General features: G+C 40.0%; 1 long non-coding RNA gene across 1 annotated transcript in view; it reads left to right on the top strand.

The window, feature by feature from the left end:
* The window catches only part of TMC3-AS1 (TMC3 antisense RNA 1), a 118,744-nt gene that overhangs the window by 52,358 nt on the left and 43,444 nt on the right, over positions 1-22,942 (top strand). Inside the window, exon 6 of the long non-coding RNA NR_120365.1 lies at positions 3,519-3,564. This is a non-coding gene — a long non-coding RNA (TMC3 antisense RNA 1). The remainder of the gene's footprint in view (positions 1-3,518; positions 3,565-22,942) is intronic.

Genomic DNA, 22,942 nt, shown 5'->3' on the forward strand with positions numbered 1-22,942 from the left:
CTCCGTCTCTACTAAAAATACAAAAATTAGCCGGTCATGGTGATGCGTGCCTGTAATCCCAGCTACTCAGGAGGCTGAGGCAGGAGAATTGCTTGAACCAGGGAGTCAGAGGTTACAGTGAACTGAGATTGTGCCACAGCACTCCAGCCTGGCAACAGAGCGAGACTCCGTCTCAAAAAGATAAATAAATAAAAATAAATAAAATTAAGTAATTTATTGAACCTAAATGAAGATAGGTTGAATAAAAGATATTTAACTCTATTTTTAGTACCCAAATCATAAATTAACTGAGATAATTACATAGGAATTGCAACTTTTGATATTAATCAGTTGTCCTTGTTTTTTGCCTAATTTTAAGGAAATGTTGATTTCTAAACATTTTTATTATGAAGTTAATGTATAATCATCAAACAAAATGGAAACAATAGGAAAATTAGAAATAGCAAAAACCACCTAGAACAATATTGCTCAATGATATTAACTATTAATCTTTTCAGCTTTTTAAAAGTGCATATTTTCCTTTATATATTTTGTGGCTGTACTGTATATGTGTATTTCTCTTACCTTTTCCATTGATTTTATATTTAAAGCAATTTCCATGTTTTAAAAAAATTTTCTGTGGGCATATTTTACCAATAGGCTATTGAGTGGTATATTCTGTCTAGGATGTGAAGCATTTAACTGTGCCCCATTTCTCAAACATCCATTTTGTTCTCCCTAGTACCTTTTGTTTGTTTGTTTGTTTGTTTGTTGTTGTTGTTTTGAGACAGAGTCTCACTCTGTCACCCAGGCTGGAGTGCAGTGGCACCATTTTTGGCTCACTGCAAACTCTGGTTCCCAGGTTCAGGCGATTCTCCTGCCTCAGCCTCCCGAGTAGCTGGATTACAGGTGTGTGCCACCACACTCAGCTAATTTTTTTAGTACAGATGGGTTTTCACCATGTTGGCCAGGCTGGTCTCAAACTCCTGACCTCAGGTGATCCACCCACTTCAGCCTCCCAAAGTGCTGAGATTACAGGCGTGAGCCCAGCCCCCACCGACCTTTTTTTTGGCCATCGATATTTTCTGCTTTTCACATAATTTCTATAGAATTAGTTTTTCAGAAGTGAAATTACTAGATCAAAAAGAATATTATTTAAGAAAATTCAATGTTGTCAAATGAATATTGCTCCCTTTATATTGATTTAATGTGCTTTTATTATTATTGGTAAAATGAGTTTTTAATCAAAAATTCACATTTGTCTATGGTCTGTTTATGGTTTCCTTGGTCTGATTTTTACAAACTCCCTCTAAGTACCCCCCGGCATTCATGTGGGCAGTGTGTTCAAGGCGAGGCTGTGATTGCAGCCTCTCATTCTCCAGCCGGATGGACTTGGATGCCCTTCCCCATTTCCTCTCTAGACTGCTGCTCCTCTGGGTGCTGAAGGGCCAGGCAGAAGGAGAACATAGAGAGGATGTTGCTTTCTGAATGCAGGGAGATTAATTACTCCACATGCATTGACTTCCTCTGACAATTTGATTAAAGGTTTTAGATGCGCTGGATACCTTTAAGTTAAGCCAGAATTTGTATGTAGATAAAATGACTAAAAATCCAAAAATCAAAAAGGTTCCAAATAGTGTCAAAATAGGCTAAAATTATTATTTCCTAGACCCACTGCTTACAGGATCTATGGGGTGAGAGAAAGAAGGTAGTAAGGCAGATAGAGATAGCAAGTGAAGGCCTAATTGTATAACATATGAATCTTGTTCAGTTCTAAAAACAAAACAAAACAACAATAAAATTTAGTTATAAATCCCAGAAGGTTTCATCAGAAATGATCCGAAGGCTTAGCTTACAGGGACAAAAACATTTATTTCCTACGTCATCAATTAAAGAGTTGTTTTCCTGCTAAGTGAATTCTATTCTGAGAAATTAATATCCCTGGGCACATCCTAAAATTTATGTGTGAGTCCAGTGTGTTCCATCAGCAAAGCCAAAGTCTCTTTTCTTAGCTATCAGATTTTCAGCTCTGGATTTTACAAGACAAACTTTCCCATTCCTGGGACATATTTACACCTCTGTTATATTGTTTTAGCAACCCCAAAAGCTTTTGCTTGAAGTTTAGAAATATGTTTTGGGTTTGGAGAATATTTTTCAGGGAAGATTCTCAAGAAGAGATTGTTTTCAATTATCTGAGTAACAGCTGAATTTGTTGAGGCATGAGAACTTATTTTTATTTTTGGATTCCACATGAAATCATTGGTGGCAAATAAATTTGAAACTGTGCAGACCCTCTGAGATTTCCCTTGGGGTCCTGTGATACTCTGTAACTATGTTACACCTTTAGAAAGTAGTCTGAGATTCATAGATGGGTTGGTGGGGGTGGGGGGTGGTGTCCTTTGCTATATTGCCCCTTGCATTAAGTGAAGATAGATTCTTATCACCATAATAGAATCCTTTAAGAAGAAGAACAAATCATCAGATAGGTTGCTGTTGGGATACAATTGTAACGCTGCCCTGTCCCATCAGCTGTTAAGCTTCCTCAAGGAATGAGATTCCTTTTCATATATGAGTGTATCTAAACACATAATCTGTCCTAGGAGAAAGAAAAAAATTGAAGTTTCTAAAAAACGGGGGTAAAAGACAGCAGCTGAATTCCTTGTCAAACGACTATTTAGTAATTGGCTGAGAGTTTTCCTGAATGATTTTTAGACTGTCTGTATTTTCCCAAGTATTTGGGGAATATTAGAAAGCACAGCCAACGTCTCAGGAGGGATGAGCTCTCAGCATTTCTTCACGTCCTTACAGAAATGCTATGTCTCCATCAGCAGATGGAAGCCAAATAGCATCTGGGATCAGCTGAGACAACAGAACAGAGCAGATTCCAGACAAAACAGTATTTACGATATGTTGATCTACCGCCAAAATACGAAGTTTATCGTGTTTTGCTTTGGTCTCGATGTGATATTTTAAAACCCCTTCTTTTAGAAAATTATCTTCATCTTTTCCTCACATCTCTTTTCATCTTATATTTTCATTTTAAAATAATTAATGGTCAAATAGGGATTGAGGTATACAATGTGATGATTTGATATATGTATATGTTTTGTAATGATTACCACAATCAAATTAATTAACATGTATTTTTGACATATCTTTTCATTTCTTGTTTTATAAAGATCTTTCAAAATCCTTTTCCTTAACGTGCAAACCAATTTAATTCCCCAAAGCAAGGCCTTTTAAAAATTAAACTACTCCTGCCCTCTTTTTTCACTTTTAGTACTTTACCTTCTTTTTAAATAATATTTTCATAGGTCTAATTAACACCGCATTTCTGCCTCTACATTTTTTTGATTTTTGAAGAAGGAGAGTTCTGTCTTGGCATGTGTATACCCACAAATAGTCTTCATGTATAAATTATATTCCCACCTTAAATCTCATCGTATATATAAATGCCATGATGATCTTTACAAATCATGTGGGATTTTATATTACTCGTAATTTTATATTACTCATAATTTTATATTGCTTGTTTACAGATTTAAAAGCCTGATGAAGGAACAGCTGAACTCAGAGAAACAGCAGGTGAAAGTAAATTTTTTATTTATTTTTTCTTCCTTTTGCCAACATTCTGCATCACCTCTTGTTTCTAGCCTCACTTTCATTCCAGCAGCTTCTCGGGTGTGGCTGTGGCTGTGGCTGTCTGGCTTCCCTTCTATTGATACCTCTGGCAGCCTTTGAGGGATGAGAGGGCGTGGGGGTTTCCACTGCAAACATGAGGGAGTAGGTTGAGTGCTTCGTTGTTGAGGTGAGCTTCCCTGATGGGGTTGAACCCTGTATATCAGAAAGAAGCCCAACCACCCTTTTGCTATTTCATAGTGAAGCATTGCATTGAATCTCCTGGAGCAGACATAAATGAATGTTGTGGCTCTGGAGTGGTAAAAGAGATTGCAAACAAACAGTCTTCATATCTCCTGGGGGTGCTTTTTACTGAGCTAACATAGCTAAGCTGGAAATGTGTTTTCTAGTATTCCATTCTCTGTGTGTTGCTGGCCACAAAGAGACTTGTGTGTCTAAGTCTTGGAAGATGTAAGAGAAGGAGCTGCCATTTTGTGTGCTCTGAGGTGGGTAAAGGGCACCAGATGCTGTGGCAGCTCACACAGGTCTGTCATCTGCTAGCCTTGCCTTGCGGGTGGGGCCATATCCTGAGCCTCGCACAACCTCAGCTCCCACTGGATCTCTTCCTTCAGCTCCTCTGAGCCCTGGGCCAGATGTGTGTACAGCTCCATGGTGAAAGCCACCAACTTTTCCAGTAGGTCTTCTGCATCTTTTGGGTGGGAGGTGGTGAGAAAGAGAGGTGGGCTCTATTTCATCCTTTTGAGGGGAAATGGGAAAATACCTCTTGTCCTCTACTTCCTCAATTTCACACCCAACTCTCCTTCCTAACTCCCAGTCCAGGCGATATAGAACAAATTCAGCCCAGTATCAGATACTACCTTTACAGAGATTTCACAACCAGTCTCACCATTGTGCAGATCCTAATCCCTGTTATAAATTCTATATATTGGTTCTGTTTCTCCAATTGAACCCTGACTGAAAAAGCTCTTCATGGCTACTGTTGCCTGCGAATTTTATCTCTTGAATTAGTAGATGGTTATACTGCTCTGCCAGGACTGTTTGACTTCCTGAACAGAAAGCGTAAATGGTAAAGTGTGGATTGTGATTAAATCATTGATGACCTACTACAGGTTGGTAGTTTGTTCTGTCTGAATTGCATCTTAAAGAAGCTCATTGAAATGTCTTATATGGTGACATACTTCCTTTTCTCCAGTGTTATTTAATGTTCTCTTATTTTTATAGCCCTTGACCTTAGCCTTTTATTTAAAGCTACTGAGGGGCTTAGATTACTGTTGCCATTTTTCTTGGGATTATGCTAATCCAGGTTTTCATTTTACTATGTCAATCTCCACTTACATTTTTTTTAACTCTGCTGGTTTCCTTTATAAAGTCACTATCTCTTCTTCTTCTCTTAATTTGCGTCCCTTATTTCAGAGACAATGATTTCATTTTATTTCACTGAGTGAGAGAAGCAAATGTCTAAAATTTACATTTTGCTTTCTGTAGAAAGCTCCTTTCTAAAATCTGCGTTTTTCTTTACCTCTGGCATGCTGCATTCATTTCCTTTTTTATGCTGCAGAATTTCTGTGTTTGCGCCCCCATCCTGTGAGTGAGTGTTCTCTGGCTTCCCTCCCTGTTCCCAGGAATGCTATGGGACTTCATCTTTCATATGCTTACTGGTGAAGGCTGCTGCATGATGACTTTGTAGGCTGAGGGAGTGGAGAAAAAGGTGAGGCTGGGAGCACTCTAAAAAGAAGAATTTGGTGTTTGTTCTGTTGACTCCTTCTTTCTTATACAGGAGGGCAGTTCTCTTCTTGTATTCCTTTGTTTTTGGTGTGTTGTTTGTGTGTTTGTTTTTTGTTTATTTTGACACAAAGTCTTGCTCTGTCGCCCAGGCTGGAGTGCAGTGGTGCGATCTTGGCTCACTGCAACCGCCTCCTCCCGGGTTGAAGCGATTCTCCCACCTCAGCCTCCAGAGTAGCTGGGATTACAGGTGTGCACCATAACACCCGGCTAATTTTGTATTTTTAGTAGAGCCGGATTTTCACCATGTTGGCCAGACTGGTCTCAAACTCCTGGCCTTAAGTGATCTGCCCATCTCGGCCTCCCAAAGTGCTGGGATTACAGGCGTGAGCGACCGTGCCCGGCCACTTCTTGTATTCCTTTGTTCAGCATGGCCTCTTCCTCAGGTCTTCGATGTGGCTTAGTGTCCCTCTCAAGAACTTTTCCACAACAGGGACAGGATCTCACCACAGCAGAGAGAATCAGAATCAGTGAAAAACACCCATGCCTGGAGACTTCTTGTTTAGAACGGCCACTCTTGTTTTGATCCTTCACATCCCCTCCAATCTAATTCTGAATTTTTTTTCTTTACTGTGGCAAAATACACATAACATAAACTTACATGTTACCGTTTTTAAGTGTCCAGTTCAGTGGCATTAAGAACATGCACATTGTTTGGCAATCATCACGAGTATTCATATTCAGGACTTTATTCATCTTCCTCAACAGAAACCCCCCATACCCACTAAACAACAAGCCCTCATTTTCCCCTGCCCCACCAGCCCCTGACAACCGCCATTCTTCTTTCTGTCTCTAGGAAGCTGATTACTCTAGGTACCTATGAGGGTGGAGTCATACAGTATTTGTTTTTGTGACTGGCTGATTTCACTCAGCGTAATGTCTTCGAGGTCCATTCATGTTGTGGTATGTGTCAGAAATTCCTTCTTTTTTAAGGCTGAATAATATCTCACTGTAGGCATATTCCACATTTTGTTTATCATTTAAATGTTTTTAAGCTATAGCAAGAAAGGGTGTGGAACAAGAAACGGTCCCTATCTCTCCCACCATCTTCATGTCTAGCCCATGCACCTCTGAAATAGTAGTGTTGGTAGGACTCTAGATACTTCCTATTAAATGGGCTACAAATTCCCTGTAGATGAGGGTTCTGACTTAGGGAACTTTCTTTAATCTCCTTCCATTTTACCAAGTCTCCCGGAAACTTCTTGAAGCATGATATAGTTTGGCTGGGTCCCCATCCAAATCTCATCTTGAATTGTAGCTCCCATAATTCCCACATGTTGTAGGAGGGACCTTTTGGGAGATAATGGAATCCTGGGGGCAGTTTTCCCCATACTGTTCTTGTGGTAGTGAATAAGTCTCATGAGATCTGATGGTTTTATAAGGGGAAACCCCTTTCACTTGGCTCTCTTTCTCTCTTGTCTGCCGCCACGTAAAATGTGACTTTTGCCTTCCACCATGATTGTGAGGCCTCCCCAGTCATGTGGAACTGTCAGTCCATTAAACCTCTTTTTCTTTTCTTTTTTTCTTTTTCTTTTTTTTTTAGATGGAGTTTGGCTCTTGTTGCCCAGGCTGGAGTGCAGTGGTGCGGTCTTGGCTCACTGCAACCTCCACCTCCCGGGTTCAAGCTATTCTTCTGCCTCAGCCTCTCAAGTAGCTGGGATTACAGGTGCCTGCCACCACACCCAGATAATTTTTTGTATTTTTAATAGAGACAGGGTTTGGCCATGTTGGGCAGGCTGGTCTCAAACTCCGACCTCAGGTGATCTGCCCACCTCGGCCTCCCAAAGTGCTATGATTTCAGGCGTGAGCCACTGCGCCCGGCCCTTTTTCTTTATAAATTACCCAGTCTTGGGTATGTCCTTGTCAGCAGCATGAGAACAGACTAATACAAAGCATTTAGTAAGTTCAGGCTCTTTTTTTTTTCTAGTTTCTAGAATTGGTGCAGATTTGCCTCTAATCATTTAAAAATAGTAAATATAATATTCTCCATTTCTGGTGGGTGGAATTCCCATATCCACAGCACTTTCTTTCCCCTTCCTCTCTCTGCTTGTGAGGGCCTCTGAGTTTATTATTTCACTCATTCATTACATAAATACTAAGTACCTGTGCTGTGTTGTGTTACAACATTAAATCATATGCTACAACATTTTCACCAGACAAGGTCTATGGGTTTTGGAAAAACTCTAGGCAGTTTCCCTGAATCCCAAGCAGGCTTGTTCAGGCTTACTATTTAGAGAAAATGGGTCTGACCTGGAGAGTCAGTATTTATGGTGTGATGCACTTGAGTAGATCTTATCAGCATCTACTAATGAGAGTTGAACATTAGCATGCTAATGTCTAAATTCAGAGTATATTCTGTGTCATTGAGATAGGCAGAAAAATGACCCCCCAAAATCTATCTACGTCTTAACCCCTGAAACCTGTGCGTATTTCCTGATATAGCAAAAAGGGAGGGAGGTCCTTGCAGATGTGATTAAGTATTATGAGATAGGGAGGTTATCCTAGATTATCTGGGTAGGCACTACAGGTAATCACATGTACCTTATAAGAGGGATGAAGGAGGAGATTTTACTGCATACAGAGGAGAAGGTGATGTGAAGATGGAGCAGAGAGAGACCTGAAGATGCTGGCGTTGAAGGCTGCAGGGATGCAGCCACAAGCCAAGGAGTGCCTGCTCTCACCAGAAGCTGAAAGAGGCAAGGAATGTCTTCTTCTATAGAACCTACAGAGGGAGTACCCTGCCAACACCTTTATTTGGGCCCAGTGATACTATCAGACTTCAGACTTCTGGCCTTCAAAACTGCCAGAAAATACATTTCTGTCATTTTAAACTACTACGTTTATGGTGATTTGTTACAGCAGCCACAGGAAATTAATCCAGCCACTTTATGTCCAAAATGAGGTTAATAATAGGGAACCTGTAAGTGCATGCCTTGTTTCAAGTTTACCAGAGATGCCACATCCTTCCTGGTGTCTCTGTGGGTTTGCTTCCTAAGATTCCAATCAACCCTTGCACCCGGTGATCAACTTTCCAACTGTCTTTCAGAAAATGATTAACTTCTGTTTTTTAACTAAGTCGTCCCCAGCAAACCATATTTTTGTGAAAGCTTACTGTTCATTTCTGCAGGCCTGAAGGGAGGTGGGGCTAGTAAGTCTCAGCCCCTTCTCTGCAAGCCTGCTCTAAACAGCAGTGACAGACATGGCATGGTCCACCTTCTAGTCATTAGATATAATGCCAAGATAAACAAGTTTGATTGATACCCTGGGGTGAAATTCCTTTTTGCACTCCAGGTACTGAGGAGAAGGCATTGTGTATGGGACACTGGAAGAGGTATGGGACTGTGTGAAGCCGGCTGTTGGGCATGGTCCACCTTCTAGTCCTTAGATATAATTCCTTTTTGGGCTCCAAGTACTGAGGAGAAGGCATTGTATATGGGACACTGGAAGAGGTGTGGGACTGTGTGAAGCCGGCTGTTGGGCATGGTCCACCTTCTAGTCCTTAGATATAATGCCAAGATAAACAAGTTTGAGTGATACCCTGGGGTCAAATTCCCTTTTGTGCTCCAGGTACTGAGGAGAAGGCATTGTATATGGGACACCAGAAGAGGTGTGGGACTGTGTGAACCCGGCTGTCGGGGGCCTGTGAGAGAAGGGGGATGAGAATGTGATTGGTTTTGAAATGATCTAAAATAGAAACTCCACAGATGGCCTCTGAGAAATTGAGACTCCATTCTGTAAAAAGGCACAGAGTCATAGAACTGTAGCGCTAGAAAGACTCTGGTCACCTGGCTCAATCCCCTGTTCTACAAAAGACGGGTCAGAGGCCTCAAGAGATACGACTCTCCAAGGCTGTCCAACCCATAGGTAGGAAAACTGGGACTTTTTGAAGTGTTTCTGTGAGAATGAAAATAAATAGCTGTAAAAGGCTCAGAATAGTGTTTGATGTAGTAAGTGTTCAAAATGTTTGATTGTGATAGGTTTATTTAAAACATTGGGCCACCTAAATTTCCAACATCAAAAGTGAAGTAACAAGAATGCTAATGAAATACAACGTTTTATCTAAAATAATGCAATCATCAGAGCCTTTCTGTTCCATCTGCCTCTGTGACTACTGCCCAGTCCAAGCCGCCATTGCCTAGATTGTCGTAGCAGCCTCCTCATCGTTGTCCTGTTTCTTTTGACGACTTCCAAAGACTATTTCCCGCCCAGCTACATCCCATTCTCCTCACAGCAGCCAGAGAATTTTTTTTTGTAAAAAATGTAAGTCAAATCAGGTGCCTTCTCTTCTAGAAACCTCCAGTGGCTCCTTTTCTCAGTCAGAGTAAAATCCACATCCTTACCCAGAGCTACATAGCCCAACAAGAGGGACCCTGTGCTGCACCCTGGAGCTCTTCTCCTGTAATTTGAGTGTCTTGCCTACCCTGCTCTGGCCACACTGGCCTCCTTGCTGTGCCCAAATACTCCAGGCCTGTGGCCTTGGGGTCTTTACGTGTGTCTTTTGCCTTGGTTGGAATGCTTTTTCCCTGCATGCTCAGTTACCTGCTCCCTTTCCTCCTTCAAGTCTCTTCTCAAATGTTGCCCTATCAGAGGGTATTTTTGGCCACCCTACATACCAGAGCAAACCACCAGCCCTCATTGGCTGCCTATCACGCTTTATTTTTCTTTATAGCATTTATCCCCACCAGATATTAAATATATACATATTTACACCTTGCTAGTCTATCTGTTCAGTACTATACTTTTACATGAAAGTAAAAAACAAACAAGAGACAGTTTACATATTATATCTTTCTTTTAAAAAAACATAACTTACTCTATTTGGGTGAATAAATGACAATTGAGCCTATGATTTGTTCTGTGTCTACTAAGAATCTAATTTGTCAACCAAAATAATCTTCCTGGGGAGATGCAGTGAACACTATGCTGCACACATAAACACATTGCATCACTCCATGTAGATTATTTTGGTTGATAAATTAGATTCTTAAGAGGCTTGGGGGTCAAATACTCCAGGCATTAAATGTCAGTTCTACTGCTTGCTAGCTAGAGTACTTCCACAGTGAAAGCTAGGGAGCTTTTACTGACTGTCCCTGAGTCATTATTTCCTTATTTACAAAACAGAAATAACTTTGCAACGTTGTAAAGATTAGCAAAATTGTATAGGAAAGGCCTACCACAGTGCATAGGGCGTAGTAGGAAACTAAAAACTGAGAAGGATGTTTATTCTTGTGTCTATAATAGTAGTGTCATTTAAACCCCACCATGAAAGCATGGCCAGAATGGTTTAAGTAATTTCTTATGAAATATGTGATAGCCATTATTATCATCATTCTTGACATTATTTTAAAATCAGCATTAAAGTTTGGTAAGAATGCTTTGAGATGAATTATTTTTTGCAAACTGAACTGATTCATGTAGAGAACTGCAAACAAAATATTTTGCCAATATACTGATTAACGACATAACATACACACTATGTGTGCTCTTTAATCCAGCTCCAAATGCAAATAAAACTTTAAAAATGCCCTCTCCTGTCTAAGAAACAAGCCCAAACAGTAGCCAAGTACATATATAGAATTTAACTCGGGGTGTCTGAATTTACTGTAGTTGCCCATGGATGGGAGAAGCAGCCTGCCAAGGCCCAGAGATGCAGGGTTTAATTCCCAGAGCTCACGGGAAGCCGGCTGATTGGTGAACGCGCCCGCACTGTGTAATTGAACATGTGCTCCCAGCCCAACTGCAGGAAGGATGAAATTTGTTAAGTGGTATCTTTCATGAGATTAAAAAAGGAAGATAAACTGTCACTGGTTATGATAGGGTCTTATTAAATTTCTGCCCTACTAATTTGGAAACTGTGATAATCCAGACTTGGCATATATGATACAGAACAAAAAAGTGGAATTAAATGCTGACACTTGGAAATTTTACATTATGGTGCACCCCTAGATTCTAGGGCTCGTTGTTGACTTAAGTCTATTTTGTTTCAATTCTGTGTATCTATTTTTAACCCTTAGGTGCCATCTGCTTGAGCGTTGTCCTGGTTCACTTCCAGTATAAAGCTCAGAGTGCAGGAATAATATCCAAGTGCCAGCAAAACCACTTGGGTGGTCGCAAAATGGAGTGAGGAGGATCATGAGGGCTGTGTTTCTGAAGAACCCACAGGGGGAGGCAGCAGGGATGAACTGCAAAAAAGTGGCAGTCTATGCTGCACACATCAGCCCCACAAAAGAATAACAAAATCCAGGAGCAGAGAGCTGAGCTACCGTAACTGAGAATGGCTCCGCAGTGGGGATGGTTTGAGAACCGTGACCTGGGTCTAGATGGCCCCTCTTGGAGCTCACTGGGACCCTGCATACATTCCCTGCCTATTGACCTCACACAGCAGTGGCTTAGCTCGGCTGAGAGGAGAACTGTCTGTTCCTCTTTGTTGGTTTAACCATATGATACACAATCCTGTAAACAAATTAATTTCCTCTGGGACTTCTGAAAGCATGCTAACTGCATTATCATTTTTTTCTGCACAAAGGAAGCTTAGCAAGAAAACAATTATGGGATGGACTTCAAATGATCTCCAAATGGCCATAAAATAGAGATGTAGTCAACAGAGAGGCAGGAGAAAAAAAAATTAACAAGGTTTTGTTTGCTAAAATCTAGGATTCATTTGATTTTAAAGCTGTGTGACCCACTTCCATTCTTTCTCCCTTCCATCAGCTTTCTGCACAAACCTTTTGCCACCCTCATTTTTAACATTTGTATTCCTCCTCTACTGCCCAGAGCCTTTCTACTCTGTGTTCTCCAATTCATCCTAAAATCAAGACCAAGGTAGAATTCTCGAACTTGGCCTATTCTGAAAAAAATGGACATGGCTGGGACAGAGAGCTTGTGTGAATATTCCCAATTGGTAAGGAATGAGTTTGCACACTCATTTATTCTGCCATCAAGCATTTACTGGCTGTCTGGTTTGTGCCTGACCCTATGCACTTCCTTAGGGAATGGAATAAAAAAAAATACATGATCTTCTCCTTAAAGCAACTTGATGCTTGATAGAATGACAGACAAAGCAAGAATTGAAACAGAGTGAGGTGACTGCTGTGATGGGTGAATGCTTAGAGCTAGGGAGGGGTAGAAGAGGAGAGAGAAGGAGTATTGCTTAGTTTGGGTCTTGAAAGATAAGTTACTGTTCTTAAACTACAGTAGTATACTGTTGAGGGGCACAGATGGACCATTCAAGACAGAAAGCTGCAATGGCCTGTGGGGACAGGCGGAAACTGCCACCCTCCTCCAGTCACTCAGGCCCTAAACCATAGCTGTGACAGTCTATCAACTTACATTCCAACCTCACCTGCAGGACACAAGGGAGAGAGTTGCCAAAGAGGTGGCTGTAGGTAATGGGGTATATACATTTGGATACTGGACACAGAGAAGACACAGATCCAAAGTCTCATTGGGATAAGGAAGTTAGGAGAGCTTGAGTTTCCTTGTTCTTATTAAAATATATGAACACTCCTTCATTGATTATCAATACCATCCTGTCTGAATGCAGACATCTGGTAGTGGTCTCATGTCTTCAGCAGGAACTCCCTTCTTTTCTATCCTAGCCTCCTGTCCACATCCCAATAGGCTTAGTGAGTCTTTTGGGTAGAAAAAAATCTTAGAGCCTTTTATTCCAAATCCCTCCTGATAAGTGAAAGAAGCCAGTCTTAAACAGCTACATACTGAGCCAGGCATGGTGGCTCATGCCTGTAATTGCAGCACTTTGGGAGGCTGAGGCGGGTGGATCACTTGAGGTCAGGAGTTCCAGACCAGCCTGGCCAACATGGCGAAACCCCATCTCTACCAAAAATACAAAAATTAGCTGGGTGTGGTGGCGGGCGCCTGTAATCCCAGCTACTTGGGAGGCTGAGGCAGAGAGAATCGCTTAAACCCAGGAGGCAGAGGTTGCAGTGAGCGGAGATGGCGCCACTGCACTCCAGCTAGGGGGACAGAGTGAGACTTTGTCTCAAAAAAAAAAAAAAAAGGCTACATGCTGTATGATTCCATATGACCTTAAAAAAAGACAAAAATAAAGAGTTGGCAAATAGATCAATGGTTGCCAGGGAGGGTTGAATAGACAGAGAATAGGTTTTTTGTTTTTTTGGGTTTTTTGGGGGCAGTGAAACTATTCTGTATAACACTGTAACAGTGGATACATAAAAATATGCATTTGTCAAAAACTCTAGAACTTTTCAGCACAAATAGCCTTAATATGCGCAAAATTTTCTAAAAAAGCATTTGCATGTATGCTTTTCAATGTTTACAAATGTATGGAAAAAAACCTCAGTGAAGAAAGTAGAAAGGTGCTGCCATAAGTAACTTTGGAATTGGGTAGATTTTATCAGACCAAAGGCAAAAAACCCCAAACCCTTTAATTGATAAAGTTGTTTCCCATGGGGGTATGGGTTAACAATTCTGAAATCGCTGTATGTGTATATTGGAACTGAACAATTAAGTAAATGGATGATAGATAGTGGGAAACAGGTTTCTCACTTTTGGAGTGCGAGGTTACAGACAAGCAAGGGGAGGTGGCTGGAATAATCTGTAGGTAATGGATTAGAGTTGGGGATATCAGCATGAACTCCTGTTTAGCTTAAAGTCGATATACCTACACAGAGGCACATATATAATATAATACATATCTATATATCATATTTAAAGATATTATATATGTGTGTGGGTCTATATTAGTATACACACATATATTTGCTCTGTCATCTGGAAGGCCTAGACGCAATACCACCTTAGTAGCAGTGAGCACACCTAATACCCTGATCTGATTTTCTTTCTTATCTTTTCTTTTTTCTTTTCTTTTCATTTCATTTCCTTTCTTTTCTCTTTATTTTCTCTTCCTTCCCTCTTCCTTCCTTCCTTCTTTTCTTTTCTTTTTTTTTTGAGATGGGGTCTTGCATTATCACCCAAGCTCAAATACGGTGGTATAATCATAGCTCACTGCTGCCTCAAATTCCTTGGGCTCAAGAGATCCTCCCACCTCAGCCTCTTGAGTAGCTTGAACTACAGGTGTATGCCACCACACCTGGCTAATTTTTAAATTTTGTGGAGATGGGGTCTTGCTGTGTTGCCCAGGTTGGTCTTGAACTCCTGGGCTCATGTGATCCACCCACCTCAGCCTCCCAAAATGCTGGGATTACAAGTGTGAGCCACTGCACCAAGCAGATCTTGTTTTCTAATATCATTCTCCAATAAAAGAACCAGGGATCTTTGAAGAGGCAATGATTTTAGGACTGGGGCAGGAAATATACAAGATAAGCCTGACACATTCTGTAGTGCTAGAAAGTCAAAAAGTGCTCAAAAAAATCCACGTCAATGATGTAAGTCAAAGGAACACATGAAAAAACTTCCAATGGCCAAAGCTGGAACAATTCAAACAACAAAACAAAGTAGTATCAGAATAAAACTCAAAGTATAGTATAAAATAAATATCTATGCATCTATATTGATATAGAGTCATGTGCCACATAATATGTTTTGGTTAACAGTGGACCACATATACAACAGTGGTCCCATAAGATTACAGTATTATATTTGTACTACAATTTTCTATGTATAGATATGCAAATACTTACTATTGCATTACAGTTACCTATAGTATTCAGTACAATAATATGTGGTACAGGTTTTTAGTCTAGGCGCAATAGGCTATACCATATATGTGTGCAGTAGGCTCTACCATCTAGATTTGTGTAGTAAGATTGTCCCCTTTGGAACCCTGTGATGTTCACACAATGATGAAATCACCTAATGACATGTTTCTCAGAATATACCCCAGTCATTGAGCAACACATGACTGTAAATGGTTGAATAGATCAATAAATGGAGAATAGACAAATCTCCAGTGCAGAATTCTAAATAAATTATGTAGTTACTTTGCCCTCAGAGAGATGAAGCCCTTTCTTAAATGCGAGCTGTAAGTTACTTCCTTCCAAAGAGTAAAGTACAAAATATGGGGGAGAGAAGGGTAACTTTACATTAGAGAAATCTGATAAGCACTTCAGCCAGGTGATTGAGGTCAACGTCAACAGTCGTAAGTTATGTTGGCGGTATGCACCCTTGATATGATGAAAATGACACTTTATTTCTGTAGTCTTCCTCCCCAAAACTCATAACCCATGTCCAATTATAAGAAAAACACTAGACAAATACCCATGGAGGGGCATTCTACAATATACCTGACCAGGATTCCTCAAAACTGTCAAGGCCATCAAAAACAATAAAAGTCTGAGAAACAGAGCCAACAGGAGTCTAAAAAGAAATGATGACTAAATATAATATGGGATCCCGGGTAGGATCCTCAGACGGAAGAAGGGCATTAGGCAAAAACTCAAGAAATTTGAATAAAACATGGACTTTAATAATGTATCAATATTGATTCATTACTTGTGACAAATATACCATATTAATGTAAGATATTAATAATAGGGGAAAGTGGGTGTGGGGTCCTATGGGAACTTCCAGTATTATCTTCACAATTTTTATGTAAATCTAAAACTATTCTAAATAAAAGACTATTTCAAAAATATAATATCAAGCATATAAAAAAATGAACAAAAAACTTTGAGCTGCCTTTCCAAATGTCATCTCCCCTTTTGGGGTTTATGATATTTCTTTTGTACGAAGTACATGTTTACTTTAATGACTTGGAATATAATAAATAATAACAGCAAAAGTTAGCATTTACTGAGTACCTGCTGTGTGCTATTTATATCTGTTAACTCTACTAGCACAGCTCTAATATAACCCTGATGATAACAACAGTTGAGGCAACAAGGAACGGACAACAAGGGTTCACCCATATCTGGTTTTCCTCTCCTTCCTGGACACATGGGCCATGACTAGTTCTAATGACATGTTAGGCAAAATGGAATGTGTCATGTACAGGCCAAGACAATAAGAGCTGATATAACCCATCCACATGTTTTGTCTCCTTTGGAAGTGAACATGGAAGCTATAAATTGAGGTGTCAGAACCACAAGATGGAAGTACGTTGGATTTCTGAGTCACCACCTGGAGGAGAGCTTCCCTGCAGCATTGCTGGAATCTGATGTGAACTAGATATTCATCTTGATCGTGTTGACTTGAACCTAATTCAGGCCTAAGACATAATATATACTGCATAATATATGCCGTATAATGATAATATATTTATGCAGCCTTTATTGATATGAGTAGTGGTTTATCTCAGTTTTATAATAAAAATCTCTCAAAGAACATTGACTCCAAGGAATAACAATCACAAAAGGATTACAGCTTTGTTTAACACTTTCTGCAAATCCTTGAAGCTGATCTTTCCTGTTGTTTCTAATCCCAATAGCCAGCCTAAACCTTTTGGTGTAATCTCATGTATTCTGACCTCTGTTATTTCCTGCTGCTTAATGATCTTTCTATAAATTGTATGGGAAATGAAGCAAATGTAATTACAGTGTCTGCCAGCCCTGATGCAGATAAATAGGTGGGAGTCTGGCCAAGTGTCTCCCCAAGCTAGCCTTTGGTGTCTTTCACTCACAGCAGAAAGAAATAGGTCATAAATTACAGCACTGATTTGTTCCAATGATATCATTAGCTCCTGGAAAACAAGGATCATGAAAAACCCATTTCAAATGAACATATGAGTCAATACCAACCAAGCATCTTTTGGAAAAGAGCCCTTATAAATTCATACTAGAATTCTGACTCCTAAGTGAATATCTCTGGATCTTCAGAACATAGAAGACTTAGCTCCAGCCCATGCATCAGTCCCTTCAGACCATAGAGTCATAACCAGGCCTATTGAAAGAGCTGGTTACATGAGACAGTCAGAGATTTACCTAGGTGAGAAAATAAAGATTAGATGGTTTGAAGCAGAGTTCTAGCCCTTCCAAATCAGACCTCCAACCCCTTTCTTAATTCTATAGTTTGTAGTTTTCAAAGGAGAAGTTGTAATAAAGAGTAAGTAAACTAACTTCTTTTTTTCTTATGGTTTTTGTTTGATAATATGAGGATAAAAGCATACCCTTTTTTGACCTATCCCAGGATAAAATGCAGGTGGAGAAAAGGTTTTCCGTATTGTCTTTAGCCTTGACACAACAAAATAGGAAAAGATATTTTCCGATCTGGGTTGAGTAGATGCAAAGAAGTGTTTTAAGGTACATCTGTAGAGCACACTCAGCACTTGGGGACTCAGGTGCCTCAAGAGAAGCTAGAGACCTAATGTAGGGATATAGAGGCCAGGAGGACACACTGGAACACAGAAGATGACAGCTTTTGAAAGAGCTCAAGATTCTAATTTCTTGAACCAGAGGACAGATTCTCCTCTATGTCCGTTCACACTTTCAGACTTTACTCTGCATTAGCCCTCTGTTCCCCACACCTGCTTCTGGACCCCTGGGTGGTTACACACTCTGACTTCATCAACCCTTATCCTTATTGTAGGGATATGAAATTTAAAATTGGCATCTTCCACAGCCAATTCTGGTCACTATTCTTGTTACTTTAACTGATATGCAATAAAGAATATGCCTGACTTTGTCCCTGGTTCCTGGGAAGTAGCATCAAAACCTTTAGAATTTCTTAAGTGGTAGGAGTGTCTATTATTCATGGTGAACTCCTGGGATCAAACTTGATAGTCTGTGCTAAAGAGATGACTCAGGACAGGAGCTGGCTGCTCCTGCCAGAAAGACCAACCATGTGATTAGAGGGTGGGGCTTTGAGCCAGGTGATATCAGCTCAGTCTCCAGGGAGCCAAGGGGAGCTAGAGATTGAATTCAACTGCAAGGCCAAAGATTCCATCAGTCATGATTGTGTAATGATACCTCAATAAAAACTCTGGGCAGCAAAGCTCAGTTGAGCTTCACAGGTTGTTAATATTCTGATAATGTCACACATTGATATGCCAGGAAGGTAATGCATCCTTACTCTTTGGGGATAGAACAACAGAAGCTTTGTGTTGAACTCCCCTAGACCTCATTATATGTGTATCTCTTTCCCTTTGGCTGGTTCTGATGTGTATCCTTTTGCTGTAATAAGACTACAACTGTAATTTATAGGACTTTCTTGAGTTCCATGAGTCATTTTAGTGAATTATTAATCCTGAGGGGGTTATGGGAACCACCAAATTTGTAGCAAGCTGGTCAGGAGTAAGAGTGGCCTGTGAGCCTTTGAACTTGTGTCTGATGTCTTTAGTTTGTGTAGTCTTGTGGAAAACTGTGTCCCTAACCTGTAAAGTAACTGGTGTCAAAAGTCAGTGAAACTAGGCATAATTAGAACTCATGGACATTCACACCCATTCCACTTCAGTCACATGCTTCCGAGGCCTCACTGAGTTCCTTTTACACATCTATCTTCTCTACTTTGGTTCTTATTCCGTATGATGGCAAAAAGAAATACAACTGGACTCTAAGATGATGGTGACTCATGATGCCTGCTCCCTTCATTGCTGCAGATCTTTGGTTCTTATTAGCTCCTTTTACACATCTATCTTCTCTTCTTATGAATAATATTCCACTCTCTGATCATACAATGACCTATCCCAGTTATCAAACCATTCCTCTCTTTGCACATATCCTTTAACCACAATGAGACATTTGAACTGTTAACTTTTTCAAATATCAGCTTTTGTCTTTCTCATTATCTTTCCTGTTCAAACTGAACTCCGTAAGTGATCTCTTAAATTAACCTTATACAAGTATTCTTGATCTTCTGTCACTCTTGCCTTTCTGGACACTTGTCACACAAAACCATACTTAAGAATTAATCCTAACATATTCCTGAACCCTTCTCACACCTGATTTGCTGGACATCTGTTTAAAATCATTCAAGTATGCTATATTAATTGATAGTCTTTATTTCAAGTGATAGAAAATCTACCCCATTATCTTAGGCTAAAAACTGTAAAACACTGATGAAAGAAATAAATCTCAAATATAAATGGAGAAATATACTATGCTTATGGATTTAAGCCTCAATGTTGTGAAAGCTGCAATTCTTGTTCAAATTCAGGTATTCAACCCAATGTCAATCAGAAGTCTATATTTCTTTTGTATAACTTGACAAGCTAATTTCGAAATTTGCATGGAAAGGCAAAGCAAAAAATAGCCAAAATCACTTTGGAAATGAAAAACAAAACCAGAGGACTCATCCTATCTGATTTCAAGATTTACTATAAAGTTTATCTAACCAAGACAATGTGGTATTAGACAAATGATAGACACATGATAGACTCTCTGTTCAATGGAACCAGAGAGTCTAGAAATAGTATATAGTCAATTGATTTTCAACAAAAGTGCAAAGACAATTCAATAAGTTTTTTTTCCCAGCACATTGTGCTAGAAAAATTGGACACTCATATGCAAAAGATAAACCTTGAACTATACCTTACACTATAAAAAAGTATTCAAAATAGATCATAGGCCTAACATAAAGCCTAAAAATTTAATATTTCTAGAAGAAAACAGAAAATCCTTGTGATGTGGGGTTAGGCAAAGATTTCTTAAATACAAACCCAAAAGCATGATCCATAAAATTAAAAATTTGATAAATTAGACTTCATTTAAAGTGATAATGTCTGCTCATTGAAGGACATCATTAAGAGAATAAAAAGACAAGGCAGAGTCTAGGAGAAATATTCGCGAAACGCATACCTAAGAAAGAACTTGTATCCAGAATACACAGAAAACTCTTAAGACTCAATGATAAGAAAACAATCCACCCAATTAAACATGGGCCAAAACTGTGAATAGTTACTTCACCAAAGAAGGTCTATGAATGGCAAATAAGTACATGAAAAGAAGTTCAATATTATTAGTCACTAAAATCAAACAACAATGAGATGACACTATACATTTATTAGAACAAAGGAAAAAAAACAATTGCAAATGCTGGAGAAGATGCCGAACCACTGGAACTTTCATACAATACTGGTAGGAATGCAAATAGTACAGCCGTGGTAGCATTTGAACAAGACAAAGAGACAGAGATAAAGAAAAATAGAGACAGAATGTGTTGAAGATGGAAAGGAAAGGAAAAAGGCAGAACAGATAGACTATTATTATTCTTCCTTTCTCTACCTTCCTGTCTGCACCAATTCCTAGATCTCACAGAAAGATGTAACCTGGAGAAAATGAACAGGCATATGATACATCCAGACAATCATATACAGCACATGTGAACTTCACAACAACCTTATATAGTTGGGCAGGATAGTTCTTGTCCTGTTACAGATATGAAATTCACCGATATATGCAACATATTTAGTAGACATCTACAGGGTTCTCCATGCGCCCCATAAATTCTACCTGTTCCATAATTATTTCCTTGGAGGAAAGTCTTTCCTTCAAAGACTCACAATTCTGTAGGAGGTCAGGGACCATCCTGTGTTTCTGGCAGAGCTGAAATGTATCCTGGACCACAGAATGGAGGATGTCCGCATGGTCTGGGTTGGATGGAGGCTTGAGTGAATTATCACAGCACAGAAAAATGTTATTTTCTCTGGACAATTTAAAAACAGTGGTGACCACTTTCTACTTTTGGTTTCCCCATGATGGCAAAAAGAAATACAATTGGACTCTAAGATGATGGTGACTCATGATGCCTGCTCCCTTCATTGCTGCAGATCTTTGGTTCTTATTGTCTATTATCTACCTTGTCCCTTCCTTCTATAATCTCCCCAGCTCCTGATATCTAAAGGCAGGACATCTCAACTCTCTATCTTAAACTTAAACCAGTTGCCCATCTTCCTGCCATTCAGCTTTTCAATGTAACCGTCAAGTACCTGCAGCCTTTCTTTTCTGGTTCTGCATTGGATGATTGATGTTTCATTGACCTTGTGGAGGAAAGAGGGTACAGGTAAGCAGTAAAGACTCCAGGATACCAGTGATGACATTATATGATGCTAAAGAGTGTGTGTATGTGCGCGCGCGTGTGTGTGTGTAATGTGCACAGCCCTTTTTTACTTTTGAGACTCCGAGACCCAGTGATAAGTGAATTGAGCAAGGCTGCACTAAGAAGACAACTGCTGCCATCTTGGGCTTGAAGAGATTCATCTTAGAATACTGAAGGGAGAATTTTCCCCTCCACCTTTACAATCCCTGATTTGGAAAGATCTTCTCCTGTGATAATTAACTGGTCCCAGGCGTTGCCCTACTCAGCAGCAATGGATGGATAGGAGGGAAACCTGGAGATAATAATGGCAGCTTTCAGGGAATCCCATCCTGTGAAGACGTTACCTTCAAGACCAGAAAGAAAAGTTATGCTCTCGTCATTTTCCTGCATGTTGGCCCTACTACTCAGCCCTTTACCCCTACCCCATCCTTCCCAACAATGAGGAGGTGTTGAGTAACCTTGTTACCTTGTTAAAGAGACTGAATGATGCTGCCACCTTTGTCCTATAAGGAACTACTTGGTTTGAATTTCTCCAAGTCTATGCCAAACTCCTGAATGAGTTTGGCCCGCCTTTGGTTTATACTGTTTAGCCAGCCCTGCTCTAACTAGGCTCCTGTCCGCCTGAGAAATATGTCCCTTTCCAGACACCTGTTTGTCCTCTCCATAGCCCTGGCATGACCTGGGCAATGTGACACCCAGAACATGCCTGGATCTGTACCTTATCACTAACCAAATCCATGTAGGAATACTAACTATTTGAATTCCTTAGCTCAGTATCTGAGTCTGAATATGCATAGATTAATATTTCCCAAATAATCTGATTCCATTAGCGATAATTTGAGAAATATCTTGGGACAGTTGGAAAGACTTCAGACCTTTTCCTTAGTCAAACTGCAATGCTTTCAAAAGTTTTCTAGCACAGTTTGGCCTGCAAACAAATTTAGTTCATTTCAGTAGGAGGTAACAAAGCTTTCTGTACCTGCCTTCTTCTGGTGTAGTTCTTGTTTGCACTTTATTTCTCTGCAATGTCATGGGGGGAAGCCAGGTAATAAATAGAGACAGATAGTAAACAGACTCCTAAGTATTTAATGGGGTTGGTCGGATTTACGGCTCCAGTGTCGTAACACAGAATTACCCAATTCCTTCAGCTGCTTAGTAAGTTTCACATTATCACACAAATCAAGGGTGACTCTCTTAAAGTTGTGGTGATCATCTGAATGCTTTTCTTCATTAGATGTCAAAGTAGGAGAAAGACAACTATTTTGGAAGGTTCTCAGACGTGAAACACTGGAAGATATCTGTGAATCTACCTCCCACTCTCTATCACCATGCCCAGGAATGTATTTCCTTTGTTATATTGACACTGGCAACTCCCAGATCTGATTGCCTTGATGTAGCCTGGAGCTACGAGAGGTCCTTAGAATCTGTTCTTGCCAGTGGCCCCTTTGCAGAATTAATAAAAAATCTTATGCACAGTAATAGCAAAGCTTTGCTCCCTCTACTTGACTTTTGGGAAAGCTTGGCTCATTGGTAAACATGTAATGTTCTTTATATTAAAACAGAGTTCTGATACTCTCAGAGTTGGGGCAAATTGTTAGCCTTTCACCAAAACTTGAAAGGCTTTCTACGTTAA

This window comes from Homo sapiens, chromosome 15 (genome assembly GCF_000001405.40).
Source record: "Homo sapiens chromosome 15, GRCh38.p14 Primary Assembly".
In the NCBI taxonomy this organism is placed as follows: Eukaryota; Metazoa; Chordata; class Mammalia; order Primates; family Hominidae; genus Homo; species Homo sapiens.